At 54.4% G+C, this 21,288-nt stretch overlaps 1 protein-coding gene across 17 annotated transcripts in view, besides 2 other annotated features; it reads left to right on the plus strand.

Moving 5' to 3' along the window:
* The window catches only part of MOV10L1 (Mov10 like RNA helicase 1), a 71,682-nt gene extending 59,148 nt beyond the window's left edge, over nt 1–12,534 (plus strand). For 8 of the 17 annotated variants that reach the window (XM_011530697.2, XM_011530696.2, XM_011530698.2 and 5 more), the window contains 9 exons: nt 462–561; nt 1,582–1,746; nt 3,892–4,065; nt 8,904–9,053; nt 9,506–9,640; nt 10,525–10,632; nt 11,535–11,672; nt 11,811–11,902; nt 12,215–12,534. In XM_011530697.2, the coding sequence (XP_011528999.1) occupies nt 462–561; nt 1,582–1,746; nt 3,892–4,065; nt 8,904–9,053; nt 9,506–9,640; nt 10,525–10,632; nt 11,535–11,672; nt 11,811–11,902; nt 12,215–12,296 (1,144 nt within the window). In that variant the 3' untranslated portion in view covers nt 12,297–12,534. Of the gene's footprint in view, nt 1–461; nt 562–1,581; nt 1,747–3,891; nt 4,066–8,903; nt 9,054–9,444; nt 9,641–10,524; nt 10,633–11,534; nt 11,673–11,810; nt 11,903–12,214 lie in introns of those variants that run through there. The other 9 variants (XM_005261923.5, NM_018995.3, NM_001164106.1 and 6 more) reach the window with 6 other exon arrangements.
* Nucleotides 16,535–17,086: an enhancer, noted in NCBI's record as "H3K27ac-H3K4me1 hESC enhancer chr22:50604117-50604668 (GRCh37/hg19 assembly coordinates)". NCBI's record gives its function as "activates a minimal SCP1, AML or CMV promoter by ChIP-STARR-seq in naive H9 embryonic stem cells {active_cell/tissue: H9 hESC(naive)}" and the evidence as "EXISTENCE:reporter gene assay evidence [ECO:0000049][PMID:30033119]".
* Nucleotides 20,752–20,811: a silencer, noted in NCBI's record as "silent region_13949". NCBI's record gives its function as "represses an Ori minimal core promoter by ATAC-STARR-seq in GM12878 lymphoblastoid cells {active_cell/tissue: GM12878}" and the evidence as "EXISTENCE:reporter gene assay evidence [ECO:0000049][PMID:35858748]".

Raw genomic sequence — 21,288 nt, forward strand, 5'->3', positions numbered from 1 at the left:
GCGGCCAGTTCAGCTGCTCTCACCTCAGCCACCTCCCGAGAGACACGTGGGAGGTGGAGGCTCAGAGAGGGGAAGTCAGGACTAGAGCCTGGGCATTTTGATAATGACAGGAGTGAGACGCAGGTGGAGAGCAGGCCAGGAGCCTGCGGCGCTTCTCCTGTGAGCTGCCCCCAGGAGGCGCTCGTGTGTTGCCCATCGCTCCCACCCCTTCTTCCCTCCACATCTCTAGAAATACAGACGCTGCGTGCAAAGCACTGGGTGCTGATGTGGCTTAGCATCTCCTGACACCTGTGGCCTGTCCTCCCTCCAGCCGGGTGACACCCAGACCCCCAGCTCCTGCACACCCCTGGGCAACCCTGCTGTGCCCCCGGGGTGCTGAGCGTGGCTTTGCCAGTGTGTCAGAGGCATCAATTGCTAAAACAATTCGGCAGAAATTACCATTTAGAACATCTTTGCTCTAGAGTTGGGCACTTCACTCACGTGTTTGTGGACGAGGCTGGGCAGGCAAGTGAGCCGGAATGCCTCATTCCTCTGGGGCTGATGTCGGACATCAGTGGCCAGGTAAGTCCCGACTACTGTGTGTGCTGCTTCCTCCTCACCCCGTTCTCCTGAGGGGATGCAGGCTGCGATCCTGCCGGGAACAGTCACAGCTGTACAGGGGTCAGGTGGAAGTGCCAAGGACCCCGAGGTGTTGGGGGCCATGGGTCTCTATTGTACTTTATTCCTTTTGGACTAGAAGTGAATGTCTTGACTCATTTACTTGTAAAACGGAGGTAAGAGCCATTCTAGGTGTTGGGGATACAGCGGTAAAGTCAGGAATGTGGTCCCTGCTCTGGGTGAGCCGGCCGTTCAGTGCCTGGAGGGGCGGACAGGGCCAGTGCTCCTGCATCTGACCCACTTGCCCCTCAGGCTGCCCTGGCCTCCAGCTCTGTGCATCCTCTGTTCTCTGCTCCCACCTGCTTCCTCCCCGAGTGCTTCTGATGGTGGCGTGGGCATCACCTTGAACTTCCCTGGTTCTCTCACTGTGGCTCATCCAGGCGAGCTCATCCAGTGTCCAGCACTGGACATTTCAGGGTCCTCCTTGGCACCCATCCTAGATGTCTGTCCCAGTCACCAGGCACTGTGGGGCGGAGCATGAAGGTGACGCCTAGGGAGGGAGCAGGGACTGGTCCAGGCAGAGCAGCGGCATAGGGCGGCCTGACCAGGTCAAGGCAACCATGGGCAAGAGGCAAGGGGCAGGTGGGATGGCGGCCAGGGCCAGCCATGCAGAAGCTTCCAGAAGATAGACGGCATCCTTGGGGCTCTTACCACTTTGAGAGATTCGCAGGAGAGAAAACCAGGCTGCAGAAGCCGGGCAGATGGCAGGACTTCGGGGAGGCAGATGGCAGGACTTCAGGGGGAAGCGGGGAGAGACGGCTCCAAGCCCTGTCGGCATTCCCTGGTCTCCCAGTCCCTCCCGTCGTCCCCTGCAGCAAGAGTGAGCATGGGGCCATCCTGCGCACAGCCCCATTCCCACCTGAGCCCGTAGGAGTGGCAGCGGCACCCTCCCTGCATGAGCTGAGACGGGCCCTCTGTGTGCAGATCGTGCTGGCAGGAGACCCCATGCAGCTCGGCCCAGTCATTAAGTCCAGACTCGCCATGGCCTATGGGCTGAACGTGTCCTTTTTGGAACGGCTGATGTCTCGACCCGCGTACCAGAGGGACGAAAATGCTTTCGGTGCTTGTGGCGCACATAATCCCCTGTTGGTGAGTCACAGACTCCAGCGCGTTCAGGTCCCCAGCTAAGCAGACACAGGCTCCAGGGCAGTCGAGCAGCTCACTCTTCTGTCCACCTGAGTCATCTCCATCCGTGGGCAGAGTGCAGGGGAGCACCCACCATAGCACCTCCCCCGTCAGCAGAAACTGCAGCCTGGTGCTGATGGCTGAGACTCTGGGGTCAGATTCAGTAAAATAAGTTAAAATCTGTGTTACTCTGTTAACGTTAAGAAAAGCAAGAAATAATTTTTGTGACTTAAAAAGCCTGCCCTAGAGTGACTGCAGGCAGTGTCTCCTCAGTGGTCTCTGACCCCAAGGTCCCACTGAAGTGCAGGTCTGGGCTCTCAGCCAACCTTGCACCAAATTCTGAGGGATGGGCTTTGGGATTTGCATCTTTGGAGCCCCCAGCACACTGAGCTTGGGCCTCCAGGGCCCATCATTCAACAGTGAACCAAGTAGCCTCAGTTTGTAAGCCCCTGTAGCCCACAGAAAAACAGTCTCCATCTGATTCCCATTGCCAGTATTAACATCAATAGAAAATGAGGGGCAGTTACCATGGGCAGACTTTCAGGGAAAAGGACTGGACCCCATTCTTGGTTGTCAAGGGTAGGGAGCAGGTGGGGGTCTTCAGGCCAAGGAAGGCCTCATGAGGGACTACCCGCAAGACAGGACCGGCTGTGCCAGGAGGCCATGAAACTGCCCCCAGGAAGATGGCCGGCCGTGAGCAGCTGCTGGGCCCAGAGGGCGCCTGAGAGCTCTGCTGTCCCCCGGAGGTTCGCCTCATCCTCCAGTGCCGCTGTGCGCCTGTACCCGCTAGCTGCTTTGCTGGAGGTGTGGGTGCAGGTGACGTGGCCGCAGCAGGAGAGACCAGCACGCTGCCGTCCCCACCACACAGCCTTCAGGGCAGGTGCATACAGCACAGGGCCACAGGTACAGAAAGACCCTGCCGCACGGGAGGTGAAGGCCTTGTCCTGTGTGGGGCCTGGGCAGTGTCCTGCACCCTCCAACCAGAGCGGCTGCCACAGTGACCCCAGGAGGCTGCATGCTTCCTTTCTCTTCCCCAGCAGCTGCCCATGTCCAGCTAAGGCAGAGGTGCCGTGACTCTAGATCACATTTGGAGTTTGGAGTAGCACGTTGGAGGCTGGACACATTCTATTTAGGCTTGACAGAGTCGGGAGGACTCACGGGGCCAATCATGGCGTTCTCGTGCCAGTGTCATCTGGCGAGTAACAGACAGCACTGCAGGAACACAGGTTTTCACCAACAGGGGCTTTGTTAACTCATCCCAAGGAGGGAGAGCCCTAGGCTTGTTCTCCCCAGCAGTGTCTCCCCGAGGGACAGTCAGTGACAGGAGGGCAGAGGGTGCAGCATTGCATAGAGAGGACGGCTCCCCGCGGCACAGACGCAGCGAGTCCTCATGCCAATACATGGGTCACGTGATGAGCAGGGTCAAGACTGAGCATTGCTCTGACTGGTTGAACTCCTGTAGTCGCTGGAGACCCTCTCTGGCTGCTTACACCAGCACCAGGGGAAGAGCACCTGCCCTGAGTGAGCTTCCCGAGCAAGTTGGAGGCAGACAGTAAAGGTGTCCCATGTACTGGTGATATCACAGTCACCCTCAGCCGCATCAGTGAAGTCACAGCCAGGCCCGCCCAGGGCTGGCCAGGCCCCCAGAGTCACAGTGTCTATGCTCTCCTGGCCCAGGGGCCCAGGAGCTCTTCCTTCCCTGTGGCCAAGCGGAGGCAGGGCTGTGTGGGCCAACAAGATGCTGTTTCCAGGGTGAAGCTCTCAGCACACGAGGGAGGCATCCACCTGCCCTCCACCCGGCTGCTGGGTTCCAGGTGGCAGGAGCCCTTTAAGAGGCCCCTCAGCGGCACCCAGACCCAGGAGAGGAACAGAGGGCAGCCGTCACACCCTTTTCTTCCTGATGTTTCCATTTTCTATTCAGATGGACCCTTGGCTTGACCATCATCCAAGGGCTTGGTCTGGGGGCAGGCGACACACAGGGGCGCAGGAGCAGAGTCAGGCTTGGAAGTCAGGCAGGCCTCACGTTTGCTGTGCAGAGCCGCTTTTCGTTCGACAGAAACTGTGCCGGGTACCACCTTCCCCTTGTGACCCATCACCATCTCCTCGCAGGTCACAAAGCTGGTGAAGAACTACCGGTCCCACGAGGCCCTGCTGATGCTGCCCTCACGGCTGTTCTACCACAGGGAACTCGAGGTCTGTGCGGACCCCACAGTGGTGACCTCCTTGCTGGGCTGGGAGAAGTTGCCTAAGAAAGGCTTCCCTCTCATCTTCCATGGTGTGCGGGTGAGTTGTGTCTTGAATCCGTAGGTGACCGTGTCGGGTAAGGACAGTATGGCAGGAGGTCCTTCCTCCCAGGTGAGGCTCTGTCACCTGCCTGTGGCGGGGCAGATGTTCTGCTGGTCTCCAGAGAGTGAAAAGCCATCGGGGGCTTGTGCCCCCCAAGATGGATGCTGACTTCTCCTGCCAGATGAGTTGTGCCTGGCACCAAGGAGGCATCACAGGCACCACTCTCAGGTGGTCACAGCAGACAAGCACTGGGCTCCAAGAGAAGCGAAGCTGCCCAGTGAGCTCTGGAGGGCCTGGGGAAGCTCGCAGGGCCATGTGGCTGGGGACGCCCCAGGGCCGCAGGAAGCTCCCAGAGGCCACCACCGCCTCCCTCCCGGTGCTTCCCTCGAGGGTTGGAGCTGTCAGGAGAGAGCCCGGCAGGGAAGGCAGCAGCTGCGATCCCGAGCCGTGCGCCTGGGGCCTGAGGAGTGACGGGCCACCACCCCCTCTCCAAGGCCTCGCAGAGGGACAGAGTTAGATGCTGAGTGACCAAGCAAAATTACAAGCATTCGCTAAAATGAGATAGTTTGTATTAGGAGTTTAGTTAGAGCAGAAATCAAGTTTTGCATTAACCCCCTGCCCCAGAAGAAGGGGCATTCAAGGTATCTGCAGTGAGGGCTGCACCCGGGCCACACGGGGAACCCTGGTGCCAGTGCCCCTTCCATGCCACGGGCCCCGGAGGACAGGGGTCCAGGTTACACCATTTGGCTGCCTTGGGGCCTCTGCATTCCATGCCCTACCCAGCAGTGGCCCCCAGTTGCTCTTCGTAAGTTCCTGAGGGAGAAAATCTGTCTGTGATCTGTCCAAAGTGGTGGGATGGGATATGTGTATGGCGGCTGTGAGGTTCTCACATTTGGAAAGGAAGGGGTCCTAAGGAGAATCTGCAGTGAGCTGGACACCTCCAGACATGGTGCACTCTGAGGCAGGTCCCTCCCCTGCAGTGGTCTCCCGCCATCTGTCCTGCTAGCTCTGCCCATCCTCAGAAGCTTTCCTGGGTATCAGGAAAACACATTAGTGGCCAGGCACAGGGGCTCACCTGTAACCCCAGCACTTTGGGAGGCTGAGGCAGGAGGATTGCTTGAGCCTAGGAGTTCAAGATTAGCCTGGGCAACATAGTGAAACTCCCATCTCTTAAAAAAAAATTTTTTTTTTTTTAAATTAGCTGAGCATGGTGGCATGTGCCTTTGGTCCCGGCTACTTGGGAGGCTGAGGCAGAAGGATTGCTTGAGCCCAGGAGATTGAGGCTGCAGTGAGCTATGATTGCACCACTGTACCCCAGCCCAGGCGACAGAGTGAGACCCTGACTCTAAAAACTATATAAATAAATATAAATAAATGCATGGAGGCTGTCACTCAGCAGCTCTGTGTCCTGGCCTAGGATCTGTCCACCTGGTAGGCCATGGCGGAGAAGAGTCATGAAGCCCCTCGTTCTCGTCGTGCTCCTCATCAAATTATCCTTGGGTTTCTGATCGTTCTTGTCTTACGAATTTTAACTGCTGTGTTTCATGCATATAATTTATCACTGCTTTATCTTCCTCATTATGTAATATCCTTCCATACTGTCATGTGTATTAGTCTTAAATTCCACCTCGTAATATTAACATTGCCACTTTTTTCTTTTTACCTGGTATGTCTTTGCCCTCTTCATTTTTTATTGTTGTATTTCTTAGGAGCAGCTAGGTTTTTATATTTAATCCATTTTGGGAGTCAGTTTGCTTTTAGTGACATAAATCAGCCCAGTCTATAGTGATTTCACATGATTTCTTCTTTATCTTTCTTAGTCATTTTATTTCCTGATTTTTTCTAGTTGATTGGTTGCTATTCATTGAATTGTTTCTCAGTTTAGAAGTTTCTGCTATAAGTTTCCATCCCATTAATCTTTTAAGTTTCTTCAGTCACTTATTATTTACAATAAATGAGTAAGTTAATGGTTTAACAACAACAGCAAAATTAATTCTTACTGCTTTATCTGGTGGTCACTTTTTTGGGGGTTGTTTTGTGGGTTTTTTTTTTTTTTTGAGACAGAGTTTTGCTCTTTCACCCCAGCTGGGGTGCAGTGGCGCCATCTCGGCTCACTGCAACCTCCGCCTTCCAGGTTCAAGCGATTCTCGTGCCTCAGCCTCCCAAGTAGCTGGGACTACAGGCGCCTGCCACCACGTCCAACTAATTTTCGTATTTTTACTGCTTTATCTGGTGGTGACTTTTTGGGGTTTTTGTTTATCTGTTTTGTTTTGAGACAGGGTTTTGTTCTGTCACCCTGGCTGGAGTGCAGTGGTGCAATCTTGGCTCACTGCAACTTCTGCCTCCCAGTTTCAAGCAATTCTCATGCTTCAGACTCCCAAGGATCTGGGACCACAGGTGCCTGCCACCACGTCCGGCTAATTTTTGTATTTTTAGTAGAGACGGGGTTTCACCATGTTGGCCCAGCTGGTCTCGAACTCCTGACGTCATGATCTGCCCGCCTTGGCCTCCCAAAGTACTGGGATTACAGGCGTGAGCCACCGCACCCCGCCTGGTGGTCACTTTTTTAAATTCTAGGGCCGGATGTGGGAGGCCAAGGCAGGCAGATTGCTTGAGCCCAGGAGTTCAAGAACGGCCAGGACAACATAGCAAGACCCTGTCTCTACAAAAAATACAAAAATTATCCGGTCATGGTGGTGCACACTTGTGGTCCCAGCTACTCAGGAGGCTGAGGTGGGAGGATCACCTGAGCCTGGAGAGGTTGAGGTTGCAGTGAACTGTGATCATGCCCTGGCACTTTAGTCTGGGCGACAGAGTGAAACCCTGTCTCATTCATTCATTCATTCATTCATTCATAAATAAATGTACACATAATATAAAATTTGTCATGTTAAAAACTTTTTTTTTTTTTTAGACAGTTGTCTCACTCTGTCACCCAGGCTGGAGTACAGTGGCATGATCTTGGCTCACTGCAACCTCCGCCTCCCATGTTCAAGCAGTTCTTATGCCTCAGCCTCCCAAGCAGCTGGGACTACAGGCATGCCCCACCACGCCCAGCTAATTTTTGTATTTTTAGTAGAGACGGGGTTTCACCATGTTGGCCAGGCTGGTCTCGAACTCTTGACCTCAAGTGATCTGCCCACCTCGGCCTCCCAAAGTGCTGGGATTACAGGCGTGAGCCACCACGCCTGGACTCCATTTTTAAGTGTAAAGTTTAATAGTGTTAAGTATATTCACATTGTTTTGCAGTCTCCAGAACTTTTATCTTGCAGTATTAAAATTCTATACCCATGAAACAGTAACTTTCTTCCCTGCAGTGCCTAGCAGCCACCATTCTACTTTCTGACTGTATGAATTCAGGTGTTCTAGGTACTTCATACAAGTGGAATTAATCATGGAGTGTTTGTCCTTCTGTGACCGGCTTATTGCACTGAGCATCATGTCCTCAAGGTTCATCCATGTTGTGGTGTGTGTCAGAATTTCCTCCCTTTTGGGGGCTGAGTAGCATTGTATTGTGTGTATACACCATACTTGGCGTATCAGTTCATCTATCAGTGGACACTTGGGCTGCAGACATTTGACTATTGTAAGTAGTGCTGCTACAACGGGTGTACAGATATCTATTTGAGACCCTGCTTTCAGTCGTCATGGGTACATACCCGGAAGTGGAATTGTTGGTAATTCTAGTCTTAATTTTTTGAGAAACCATCATCTTGCTTTCCACAGTAACTGCAGCATTCCACACCCCACCAACAGTGCCGCAGGGTTCCAGTTTCCCCACATCCTCACCACCACTTATTTTCTGGGTTGTTTTATAGTAGCCATCTTAGTGGGAGTGAGGTGTAGCTCACTGTAGTTTTGATTTGCATTTCCCTAATGATTTGTGACATTGAGCAGCTTTTCATGTACCTGTTGGCCATTTGTATGTCTCCTTTGGAGAATTCAGGTCCTTTGCCCATATTTAATTGGGTCGCTTTTTGTCAGTGAATTTAAGACTTCCTCGTAGTTTTGGATATTAACTTCTTATATACTATTTGCAAAGGTTTTCTCCCCCCTCCGCAGACTATCTTTTCACGTTGTTGATTGCGTCCGTTGATGCCCAGACATTTTCCATTTGGATGTAGTCCAGCATATCCCTTTTAGTTATTGCCAGTGGCTTTGGTGTCGTATCCAAGAAGTCATTGCCAAACCTAATGTCGTGGGGCTTTTTCCCTGTTTTCCTCCAAGAATTTTATGGATTTAGGTCTTGGGTTTAAATCTTCGATCCACCTTGAGTTTCTGTTTCCAGGTGGTGTCAGGTGAGGGTCCGTCTTCATCCTTTCCGTGTGGCTCTCTAGTTTTTCCAGCAGCGTTGGTTGAAAAACTGTCCTGGCACCCTTGTCAGAAGTCATCTGGCCGTATATTCGAGGGTTTATTTCTAAGTTCTCCGTTCTACCCTGTTGATCTATATGTCTGTCTTTTATGTCAGTATATCTCATTAATGTTTTCTAAGGAAGAGTATTTTCAAGATGAGAAGTAGCTATATCAAAGGTCTAATATCAAAAAAAAAAAAAAAAAAAAGATCAGAAATACCAGCCAGCCCTCCACTCCGGGGCTCAGACCTGAGTGGCGGACTCCTGTGACCCGTCCTCCTCTGTAGCGTTTAGCATGACTGTGAGCCATTTCATCATTTAACATATGCCATCTGCCCTGCTCACATGTAAGTTCTGCACGAGAGCAGGGATTTATTCTGTCATATTCAGTGTGTATTCCCAGCACCGACTTCAGCTCCTGGATTGTAGCCTTCTGGTGAATATTCATGAAGTAAAGTAGGTTTTCTCTCCTCATCAACCCAGGGCAGCGAGGCACGGGAGGGAAAAAGCCCATCGTGGTTCAACCCGGCCGAGGCCGTCCAGGTCCTGCGCTACTGCTGCCTCCTGGCCCACAGCATCTCCAGTCAGGTGTCTGCCAGCGACATTGGCGTCATCACGCCCTACCGGAAGCAGGTACGCCCTGCCCAGGCACGCCTGGTTCTGTGAGGTCCCTGCAGCCCTGCTCCTTGGCTCCTGCAGCTCCACAGAGGCAGGAACAAGCTCCTTGTGAGCAGCAGCAGGTTTTTAAAGGGGCAGGACCGCACTTGAATGTCGTTCAACATGAGAGGTCACCCAACTGCCATCCATGGGCCAGTTCCGGGCAGCTGCCAGCTTTTCTACGGCCAGAGCCTCGAACAGTTTTTACATTTCTAAATGGTTACATTTATATGTCCCTTGATATTTGGCCCTTTGGGAAAACATTTGCCAACCCCCAGCTCTAACCCAGTGTTTCTCAAAGGGGGCACTTTGGGTATATTTGAATGGGACGCTTCTCATTTCGTATGACTCTGTGATGTGATTATAGGAGAGTTAGCGTCCCCAGGCCCCAGGGGCTGGTCCCAGGAAGCATCTCCACACGTTCACAGTGGCTCTGGAGCTCTGGTGGGGACACAGGTGCCTCCCATGCCGAACACCAGGTTTCATTCATGAAGCATGTGTCCCTGTGGTGTTCACACCACCAAGCAGAACTTGGAAAGAACCCCCAAAATACAGAAGAAAAGGTGAGTCCCCTAGGCCATCACAGTAACAGATCACCTGTACCGCGCGTGTGCTGACCGCAGAGCCCGTCAAAGATGTTATGTTTCCTTTTTTCTGACCTCGGGGACTCGAGAGGTGAGTGCTTAGTTCTCCCAGAGGTACAGAGATTACGAAGGCTTATGGAGACAAGTAAGTTGCCAGACATCACACAGCCAGTGTCCTGGTGTCTTAACCTCAGCTTGTAGGTGCCATCCTGCTGAGACATCCAGCTTAGAGCTGCCATCCTCAGCTCTAAGCATCAGACATGCATCTCGTTTCTCCTGAAGGATTTCCTCCATCCTTGATATGTGCTTGTGGGGAGGGAGGATTTTCCACATGAAACTTGGCTTTCCTAGTAAGCATTGTCCCCCGTCCCCAGTTTAACTAAAACTGCAATTTGTGTTCTAATCAATTCAGATTAGAAGAAAGCAATAAAGAATTAAAAAACAATATTGCACCTTGGCCAATATTTGGTTTATGCTGTGATGTGTAAAGAGATGGATTTGTACATGTCGGGCGTGGTGGCTCACGCCTGTAATCCCAGCACTTTGGGAGGCCGAGGTAGGCGGATCACAAGGTCAGGAGTTCAAGACCAGCCTGGCCAATATGGTGAAACCCTCTCTCTACTAAAAAATACAAAAAATTACCCGGGTGTGGTGGCATGCACCCATAATCCCAGCTGCTCAGGAGGCTGAGGCAGGAGAATTGCTTGAACCCGGGAGGCAGAGGTTGCAGTGAGCCGAGATCACGCCACTGCACTGCAGCCTGGGTGACAGAGTAATACTCCATCTCAAAAAAAAAAAAGGAAAAGAAAAGAAATGGATTTGTACAGTGTTATCTTTAGTCTTTCTTTTAATCTGTTCTCAAGGTGGAGAAAATCAGAATTCTTTTGCGTAATGTTGATCTGATGGATATAAAGGTTGGATCAGTAGAGGAGTTTCAAGGACAAGAGTATCTGGTCATCATCATTTCGACCGTAGGTATCCCTGTTCTCCGTGGGGATGGACAGTCAGGTGCTTGCTGCCCTGGGGGTTCTGGGGGCTTCAGATCTAAAGGGGCAGAGGCTGATTCCCAGCCCAGAGAAGCAGCTGCAGGCGGAGACTCCCTAGGTCCAGGAGCCATTGTAAGCAGTGGCTGTGGGAAGGTCTTTTAAAACAATACTCAAAGACTAAGACACAGGAGAGTAAAGAGAAGGGACCCAGGAAGACATGGTGAATGCCTTGGAGAAGGAGGGACACGAAGTTGGAAGAACAGGCAGCTGAGGAGCAGAGAGTGGGAGGGCAGGTACCCGCAGGAGAGCCCCTAAGACCCCGCCATCCAGACAGCCGCAAGCGTGAGGGCTCCCTGTCTGCAGATGGAGTGCCGATGAGACCCACCCCTTTCTGCTGCCCTTCCTCCTCCCCCTTCTCCCCCTCCCCCCACCTCCTGTTTCTTTTTTTCTTTCTTTTTTTTTTTTTGAGATGGCGTCGCTCTGTCGCCCAGGCTGGAGTGCAGTGGCGCGATCTCGGCTCACTGCAAGCTCTGCCTCCCGGGTTCACGCCATTCTCCTGCCTCAGCCTCTCGAGTAGCTGGGACTACAGGCGCCCACCACCACGCCCAGCTAATTTTTTTTTTTTTGTATTTTTAGTAGAGACGGGGTTTCACCATGTTAGCCAAGATGGTCTCGATCTCCTGACCTCGTGATCCTCCCGCCTCGGCCTCCCAAAGGCTGGGATTACAGGCGTGAGCCACCGCGCCCGGCCTCCTGTTTCTTTTTGAACCAAAAATGAGGTCATTCTGCTATTTAACATTTTTAAATGTTTTTATATATCAAGAGTTTCTCTTCATGCCCCCCAAAAACTTCAAGTGCCATTTTTATTCATCTCTGTGTGCTTTTAGGTACGGTCAAATGAAGATAGATTTGAAGATGATCGATATTTTTTGGGTTTCTTGTCCAACTCAAAAAGATTTAATGTTGCAATCACCAGACCCAAAGCTTTGCTGATAGTGCTGGGAAACCCCCATGTTCTCGTTCGAGTGAGTTTTCAGGCACTGGGTGGGCTGTGATCACTTAAGGAGGGAGGGTCCGGGTCACTCGGGGTGAGACGTACGAGGCACCAGGAGACATGGGGCCTTCACTTGCTCTCACACCAGGCTAATTGTTATTGCCAACAGGACCCCTGTTTTGGTGCTTTGCTGGAATACAGTATTACAAACGGTGTTTACATGGGATGCGATTTACCTCCTGCACTGCAGTCTCTGCAAAAGTGAGCGCTTCTGCTGTCTTCCTCAAAGACAGGCTGGCTCTAGAACGTGCTCTAGCCTGCCCTCCCCTGCTCCCCTCACCCCCATCCACTTACCCACCTGCAGCCTTAGCCCTCTGCCGGCCACCGTCCTCACCTCATCCTGGGCTGCAGCAGCCACTGTTTCCTGGACATTTGGGGTCATGTCACCTTTCCCACATAGGCTAACAGGGTAAACTAAGTCCCCTTGTAAAACCCACATTGGGAAAAGAGTGCAGCTCCCAGCCCGCTGTGGGAGCCTGGCTCACTGGCCATCCGCTTCTCCTCTGTCTACAGCTGTGGCGAGGGGGTGGCAGACCCCTCCTACCCAGTGGTGCCAGAATCCACAGGACCAGAGAAGCATCAGGAGCCCAGCTGATCTGCAGTGGCTGACAGCAGGGAGGCCATGTGCTCAGCCTGGCCACGTTGCCGTTACAGTCTGCTCCGTGGCTCCTGTGGCCTGCCCTTGTCTCGCAGCCAGGCAGGGTCGTGTGTGGGTGTGGGGCTGCCAGGTTGGACGCAGCTGCTGCTGCCCTGACTTTGGCATATGCCAGCCTGTTCCTGCCACAGGGCAGTCACTGCCGCCTACCCTGAAATAAACCCTCGAGTGACCCCCAGAAGCCTTTCCACCTCGAGATGTGTGCCCGTGTCAGTGGTGACCAGGGTTTCATGTGGCCTCTCAGCCCTGCTGGCGCAGTTTTTGGAGATGGCTTGCTGTCCACTTCACCTGAACTAGCCGTGTGTCAGGCTCCAGGCAAGGCTGCCAGCTCCACTCAGCAGAGCGCCAGGGCCATGGACCAGGCATGCAGAGCCCACAGGGCCTGAGGCTCTACATGGGGCCAGGGTTGTGAGGGTGGCACTCAGGCCTGCCCTAGGCCCAGTGCTTCTGGGAGTTTGCAGCTGGGCGGGTTCCTGGGTGCAGGCCTGCACCCTAGGGGTACTGAGTTTAGGGGTCCTTAGAACACATCTCTGGGCCAGAAATAAAACACGTGGAGATGGGCAACGCACCTCAGGCCAGGAGGAGCAGAGCAGTGGCAGGAAGAACACTTGGGGTGAGCCCCGCACTGTCCTCAGCCTGGTGCAGGGTCTCAGTACAGCAGCCCGGCTGGAACACAGGACCCCCAGGCTCGGAGATGCCGCCTGCATACACCCAGGGCCCCAGAGGAGGCCAACACCGCTTTACGGGGGGTCTTACCTGGCCTATGCCCCCATCCCCACAGCGAGACACAGACCAGCAGCCGACTAGAAGGGTGCAGGCTTGGCCCACCTCAAAGTTTGGGAGCCTTGCCCTGCACCCTCCCCCACCCCCTCCCCCACGACTTGCTCCCAGGAAACAAATGCTCAGTGTCTCCACTTAGAGGTAGCGTCTGCTTGGCAAGCAGAAACCACTGTCTCCTGAAGGTCTCAAGACACCAGGGATCATGTCTGTTTACTAAACTTGTGGGTGATGCTAAGATCTGTGGTCACAACTCCAGGGAGTACTTGATGTAGGAGGAAGCACTTTCCAGACAGGCGGCGTCATGTCAGGGCCCAGGACTGCATGCGGCATCACCTGCTGTGGCTTCTGCATGAGTTGTGTTTAGGAACTGAAGGGTTTCTCCAGGCAGAGCTGTCATTGCTGTGCTAAGGGGTGCGTGGAGGCCCAGGCAGAGCCCCCATGCGTGGAGGCCGCTGTGCCCAGTGCTCCTGCAGCCAGCGTTTGCTGGACTCTCTCTGCAGAGCAGAAGTCCTAGGGCAAGGACCTCTCCATCCTGTCAACCCCAAATCGAAGGGATGCCCCCCACGGAGGCTGGGGACTTTTCTGACCCAGGTGAGGGGATCATTGGGGTCAGCCCTGACACTGAGAGGCCACCTCTCTGGGCTCAGTGACCTGGATGTCCTGGCAGGTGGGAGAGACGCAAGAAGCAGGTGTGGGGTCCACACTTGAGGGAGTGCTCTTGGGCAGAGACGTGGGGAGCCAGTGTTGAGGCTGGGCAGGTGTCCTCAGCTGGGGGACACCTCAGCAATGATCTGGCGTGTGCCCAGGGTGGCAGGAGACCAGGCGGGGTCATTCTATAAAGGACTCGGGGCACCTGTTTGCTGGTGCAAGAGTGGCAGGGAGGCTGTCAGGTGACAGGGAGGGAGGGGAAGAGAAGGAGGTCAGTGAGGAGGCTGCCCTGGAGGGGCCCAGGCTACAGGGAAGGCAGCACTGCTCAGCCAGCCATGAATCCCTGCAAAGCAAGGCAAGGGAAGCAAAGGCAAGTGGGGCCTGCAGGCAGGTGTCGTCTGCACAGGATTTGGGGCTTTTTTTAAGACAGGGTCTTGCTCTGTTGCCCAGGCTGGAGTGCAGTGGCACAATCATGGCTCACTGCGTCCTCAACCTCCCAGCCTCAGGTGATCCTCCCACCTCAGCCTCCCAAATAGCTGACACTACAGGTGTACGCCATCACACCTGGCTAATTTTCTGTAGAGACAGGGTTTCGCCATGTTGCCCAGGTTGGTCTCGATTTCCTGGGCTCAAGTGTTCCACCCACCTCAACCTCCCAAGTAGTTGAGATCACAGGCGTGTGCCACCACAGCTGGCTAATTTGTTTATTATTATTTGTAGAGACGGTCTTGCTATGTTGGCCAGGCTGCTACACAGAGGTCTTAAACTTTGGTGCTTGGAGTCCCCTAAATGAAACCTTAAGGGAGTGCATCTCTTCCCTCGTTTTTTTGGTTATCTAAGATTTTTCTTCTTCACATTTTAAACGTGCTTATGATGTAAGTCACAGCTTATTATAAATCTTGCCATTTCATTTATTTTTATTTTATTTTATTTTTTTTTTTATTTATTTTTTTTTTTTTTGAGACAGAGTCTTGCTCTGTCGCCCAGGCTGGAGTGCAGTGGTGCGATCTCGGCTCACTGCAAGCTCCACCTCCCGGGTTCACACCATTCTCCTGCCTCAGCCTCCCGAGTAGCTGGGACTACAGGCGCCTGCCACAACGCCCGGCTAATTTTTTGTATTTTTAGTAGAGACGGGGTTTCACCGTGTTAGCCAGGATGGTCTCCATCTCCTGACCTGGTGATCCACCTGCCTCGGCCTCCCAAAGTGCTGGGGTTACAGGCATGAGCCACCACGCCCGGCCCAAATCTTGCCATTTTCCTTTTCAGTGTATCCAGTGCAACAAAAAATGCCATTACAGTTTGATACCATCATCCACTTAGAGGACACCAGCAAGCTGTTCTTTCACAGCTAGAAAGTTTATTTCTTCTTTTCCTTGAACTCATATTTCTATTCCACTCCCCCCCATATTTGTATCCTAATGCAAAATGTGTTAGGTTTGAAAGGTGTGGGCATCACAAATATTTTCTGTTCCTCTCCTGGGCACAGAACGGGATTTCACCCCCACCTCCCTCACCACCACAGGTGTGTAAAGCCAGTGACATCGCTGATGCGAAGGCTCTGAAGGCAGAGGGCAGCTCACCCCCCACTCCCCACCGGACACCGGGGGCGAGGGCCGCCACGTGTCAGGCTGAGGATGGCGGGACAGAGCCCCCAGTCTCCCTGTGAGCAGTGTGTGGGGCCAAACAACCTGGGCTGTTGTTGACGTCTATTACTGTGGCATGGTCTGGCCTGTCCCTACCAAACACCAGTCTCAGCGCACCCTGACAAAATACAAGCACTGAGGCTTAACATGGGAACAATCTGGCCGATTGTTATTCTTACGATTATTATAAATACCCAATCAAAATGATACGCATACATTTCCAATTTTCATAATAAACAAAAATAAAATTGAGCTAGAAATGCTTTTTTTTTTTTGAGATGGAGTTTCATTCTGTCGCCCAGGCTGGAGGGCAGTGGTGCAATCTTGGCTCACTGCAACCTCCGCCTCCTGGATTCAAGCGATTCCCCTGCCTCAGCCTCCTGAGTAGCTGGGATTACAGGCATATGCCACCATGCCTGGCTAATTTTTGTATTTTTAGTCGAGACGTGGTTTCATCATGTTGGCCAGGCTGGTCTTGAACTCCTGACCTCAAGTGATCTGCCCACCTCAGCCTCCCAAAGTGCTGGGATTATAGGCGTGAGCCACCACACCTGGCCAGAAATGCATTATTATCCGTATGGGGCTTATTTGCAAATAGTTAATGTCATCATGGGAAGATATTACTTAGGGCGGAAATGAGACAGGTTGTCAGTTTTTTTTCCTGTTTTTCATCTTCATGGATATAGAAGCTCAGAAAGCTTGTTCGCTTAAAGAGAGAGATGGGAATACAAGCTTTGCACAGCACGCATCGTCTTCAAGATCCTTCCATGTGTTGAAATCTCATGTTAATGTATCACCAAGAGAAAGAAGCAGCTGCTCCCATAATACGGGATTTGGGAAGACTGTCCTCCAGTCTGGGCCACTGGAGTGTGAAGACCGCAGGGGTGGACCCTTCACTCCTGCCACACATCCTCCTGAGGAGGGTAACAGGCTGGGCGGCCAGGGTGTCATCATGGACCTTTGCTCACCGTTCCACTCACCGGGAATGAGGATGGCAGCCAAGTTGCCGAGTTTTGAGTCCAGGCCCTGGCTCTGCCACAGGCGTTCTTCTTGTCAAGCTCCCACCGCTTCCTCTGCGAGACAGTGACTGGCCAGTGGTGCTCAACAGGCAGGCAAGATCACACCCACTCATAACCATCGTTGTTCACTGAAAAGGTGCTGTGGCCCAGATGCTGCCCCAGGCAGGGGCGTAACATGCAAAACAAATGCAGTAGGTGCAGTGGCCCAAGCCTGCAGTCCCAGCGTGGCTCACGCCTGCAATCCCAGCATGGTCCACGTCTCCAGTCCCAGCGTGGCCCAAGCCTGCAATCCCAGCGTGGCCCACGCCTGCAATCCCAGCATGGCTCCTGCAATCCCAGCATGGCCCACGTCTCCAATCCCAGCGTGGCTCAAGCCTGCAATCCCAGCGTGGCCCACGCCTGCAATCCCAGCGTGGCTCACGCCTGCAATCCCAGCGTGGCTCAAGCCTGCAATCCCAGCGTGGCCCACGTCTCCAATCCCAGCGTGGCTCAAGCCTGCAATCCCAGCGTGGCCCACGTCTCCAATCCCAGCGTGGCTCAAGCCTGCAATCCCAGCGTGGCCCACGCCTGCAATCCCAGCGTGGCTCAAGCCTGCAATCCCAGCGTGGCCCACGTCTCCAATCCCAGCGTGGCTCAAGCCTGCAATCCCAGCGTGGCCCACATCTCCAATCCCAGCGTGGCCCACGTCTCCGATCCCAGCGTGGCTCAAGCCTGCAATCCCAGCGTGGCTCAAGCCTGCAATCCCAGCGTGGCCCACGCCTGCAATCCCAGCGTGGCTCACGCCTGCAGTCCCAGCGTGGCCCACGCCTGCAGTCCCAGCGTGGCCCACGCCTGCAGTCCCAGCGTGGCCCACATCTCCAGTCCCAGCGTGGCTCAAGCCTGCAATCCCAGCGTGGCCCACGTCTCCAGTCCCAGCGTGGCCCACGTCTCCAATCCCAGCGTGGCCCACGTCTCCAATCCCAGCGTGGCCCACGTCTCCAATCCCAGCGTGGCTCAAGCCTGCAATCCCAGCGTGGCTCACACCTGCAATCCCAGCGTGGCTCACGCCTGCAATCCCAGCGTGGCTCACGCCTGCAATCCCAGCGTGGCTCACGCCTGCAATCCCAGCATGGCTCATGCCTGCAGTCCCAGCGTGGCTCACACCTGTAATCCCATGCCTGCAATCCCAGCACTGTGGGAGGCCAAGGCTGGGTTGGGTGGGGGTGGGGGGATCAGGAGTTTGAGACCATCCTGGGCAATATAGTGAGACCCCGTTTCTACAGATAAAAAAATTTTAAGGCCAGGTGCAGTGGCTTATGCCTGTAATCCCAACACTTTGGGAGGCTGAGGCAGGAGGATCACTTGAGCCCAGGAATTCGAGACCAACCTAGGCAACATGGCGAAACCCCATCTCTCAAAAAAATTAGCCAGGTGTGGTGGTGCATGTCTGCAGTCCCAGCTACTCAGGAGGCTGAGGTGGGAGGATCCCTTGAGCCCAGGAGATGGAGGATGCAGTAAGCCAAGATCCCACCGCTGCACTCCAGGTTGGGCAACAGAGTGAGACCTTGTCTCAAAAGATAATAGTAAAAATTGCTGGGTGTGGTGGCTCATGCCTGTAATCCCAGCACTTTGGGAGGCTGAGGTGGGCAGATCATGAGGTCAGGAGATCGAGACCATCCTGGCTAACACGGTGAAACCCCGTCTCTACTAAAAACAAAATACAAAAAATTAGCTGGGCGTGGTGGCAGGTGCCTGTAGTCCCAGCTACTTGGGAGGCTGAGGCAGGAGAATTGTGTGAACCCGGGGGGTGGAGCTTGCAGTGAGCCGAGATCGCGCCACTGCACTCCAGCCTGGGCAACAGAGCAAGACTCTGTCTCAAAAAAATAATAATAATAGTAACAATTTTAAAAAGCTGGGCATGGTGGCGTGCATCTATAATGCCAGCTACTTGGGGGGTCAAGGTGGGGGGATTGCTTGAGCCCAGGAGTTCAGGGTTACAGTGAGCTCTGACCAGTGATGCAGTGCTCAGGGTTTGAAGAGAGCGTGCACACAAACCGCTAGAGATAAACTCAAAGCACCTGGAAGCTACACCCGCCCCCCCTTCCCCCCGAGAATGGCAGATACTAGAAGGTGGATAGGGCTGAGAGCTGGAAAGAAGACAGGGATGGTGAGAGCATGGACTGGCCGAGCACTTCTGGAAAGCATGGAGAGGCACCCATGCGAAAGCAGAAAGTGCATCTGGAAAACAAAGGCAGCCACCCAGCAGCCACACTCGGGTCGCTCGGAGGGGCTGGAACTCACTGCACTGGGTTATCTGGGAGTGACTGAGTTGTCGGGGAGGGGGGGTGACTTGGTTATGTGAGGGGTGGCTGGGTTCTCTGGGGTGATGGTTATCTGGGGGTGACTGGGTTATACGGGATGGGTTATCTGAGGGGTGCCTCGGTTATCTAGGAGATGACTGGTTTATCTGGTTACCTGAAGGGTGACTTGGTTATTTGGGGATGATGATTTTATCTGGGATGACTGAGTTATCTGGGGGTGACTGAGTTATCGGGTGAATAGGTTATGTGAGAGGTGACTGGGTTATTTGGGGTGACTGGTTTATCTGGCAGTGACTGGGTTATCTGGGGTGAATAGGTTATGTGAGGGGTGCCCGGGTTATTTGGGGTGATTGGTTTATCTGGCAGTGACTGGGTTATCTGGGGTGAATAGGTTATGTGAGGGGTGCCCGGGTTATTTGGGGTGATTGTTTATCTGGCAGTGACTGGGTTATCTGGGGTGAAAGGTTATGTGAGAGGTGACTGGGTTATTTGGGAGGTGACTGGTTTATCTGGCAGTGACTGGGTTATCTGGGTTGAATAGGTTATGTGAGAGGTGACTGGGTTATTTGGGAGGTGACTGGTTTATCTGGCAGTGACTGGGTTATCTGGGGTGAATAGGTTATGTGAGAGGTGACTGGGTTATTTGGGAGGTGACTGGTTTATCTGGCAGTGACTGAGTTATCGGGTGAATAGGTTATGTGAGAGGTGACCGGGTTATTTGGGAGGTGACTGGTTTATCTGGCAGTGACTGGGTTATCTGGGGTGAATAGATTATGTGAGGGGTGCCCGGGTTATTTGGGGTGATTGGTTTATCTGGCAGTGACTGGGTTATCTGGGGTGAATAGGTTATGTGAGGGGTGCCCGGGTTATTTGGGAGGTGACTGGTTTATCTGGCAGTGACTGGGTTATCTGGGGTGAATAGATTATGTGAGGGGTGCCTGGGTTATTTGGGGTGATTGGTTTATCTGGCAGTGACTGGGTTATCTGGGGTGAATAGGTTATGTGAGAGGTGACTGGGTTATTTGGGAGGTGACTGGTTTATCTGGCAGTGACTGGGTTATCTGGTAGGGGTGACTGTTATCGGGGGGTGAGTTGGTTTATCTGGGGTGCCTGGGTTGTCAGGGTGACTGGGTTATCTGCCAGGGCTGATTTATCTGGAGGTGCCTGGGTTATTTGGGGTGACTGGGTTTATCTGGGGTGACTGGGTGGTTGGGTGCTGGGATTGGATGTAGCTGAACTGCCTGCCTCAGGATGAAGTTTGCTGGAAGTCAGGGGCTGGCATCCCTCAGAAAACATGCAAGGATCTTTAAAAACGCAGACGGCGTGAAAGCTCAAAGCAGACACATCCCCTACGCAGCCCAGGGAGGCAGGGGGACCTCCTGGTTTGCTCACAGCAGTGGCCGGGCCTGTGAACACGGGCTCAAAATACATTTTTGGAATGAATTATTGAATGAACTTAAAACTCCAATCACACTAAATCTTTTATATGAAAGATCGTGCACGTTCGTCCTGGTATAGTGGGAAGGGGACCTGCACGAGGGAAAACGGCTGCCTCGAAGAGGCAGGGACCACGCGGGATGCGCCCGCGTCTGAAGCCAGACCCCCGGCTCCCCGAGGGAGAACAGGACGGAGGGCGGGGCTGTGGGGAGCGGAGGGAATGAAGGTCAGGGAGGCGGCGGGGACCCCCTGAGCTGGCACAGGCCCCGGGAACGTCTGTGGAACAGGGGACGGGATGGGGCGTGGGGGAAGGAGGTGCGGGCTGCAGGAGCGGGGGTGATGGGGTCACTCACGGCGGCGGGACTGGGGGTACTGGGTGGGGGGGTCGGGTGGGGCCGGGGCTGCAGTGGAGGGTGTGGGGCGGGGAGATGCCCTCATTGCCCGCGCACTGGCGCCCGAGCCCAGAGAAGAGAGCGCCGGCTTCCCCGCCAGTGGCCGCAGCACCCCAGGAGCGCGGGAACCTCCGGACCCACAGCGGGGCGCGGCCGGGGCAGGTGGGGGGCCCAGGCGAGGAAGCCCCCTCTGCGCCCTGGGCTGGGCGAAGGGCCCTGCGATGCGACGGGGGCAGCCCCAGCGCGCGCCCAGTCCTCACGTCGCCACCGAGCGGCGCCCCCGCCCCAGCCCGGAGCCCCGCAGGGCCGCCCCCACCCCTGCCCACCCTCCCGCGGGCCGGGGCAGCCCCCCGCCAGCCACCCCGCGTTCCCAGGAAGAGGGACCGGTCATTACTCATTCATGTCCTTTCATTTCATTTCAATATTTTCTGCAAAGTCATCGCCCGCGCCGCATCTGCGTGGCGGGGGGCGGGGTGGGGCGGAGCCACGCCGCGGAGTCGCCGCAGGTAAACAGCCCCCTCCCCGCGGCGGGAGCGGGGCCGCCGGCCCCAGGCAGGGACAGCAGCCGCCGCCCGCGCTCCGGGCCGGGATCCCGCCGCCGCCCCCGCCGGAGGCACGCGCCAGGGCGGGGGCCGGGCTGCGGCGGAGGCGGGCGGCTCCGGTGCCCCCCGCCGCCGCCCCGGCCCGGCCCGCCCGCCCCCTGACCCCGGGGG

Source organism: Homo sapiens, chromosome 22, assembly GCF_000001405.40.
Source record: "Homo sapiens chromosome 22, GRCh38.p14 Primary Assembly".
NCBI classification, from domain to species: domain Eukaryota; kingdom Metazoa; phylum Chordata; class Mammalia; order Primates; family Hominidae; genus Homo; species Homo sapiens.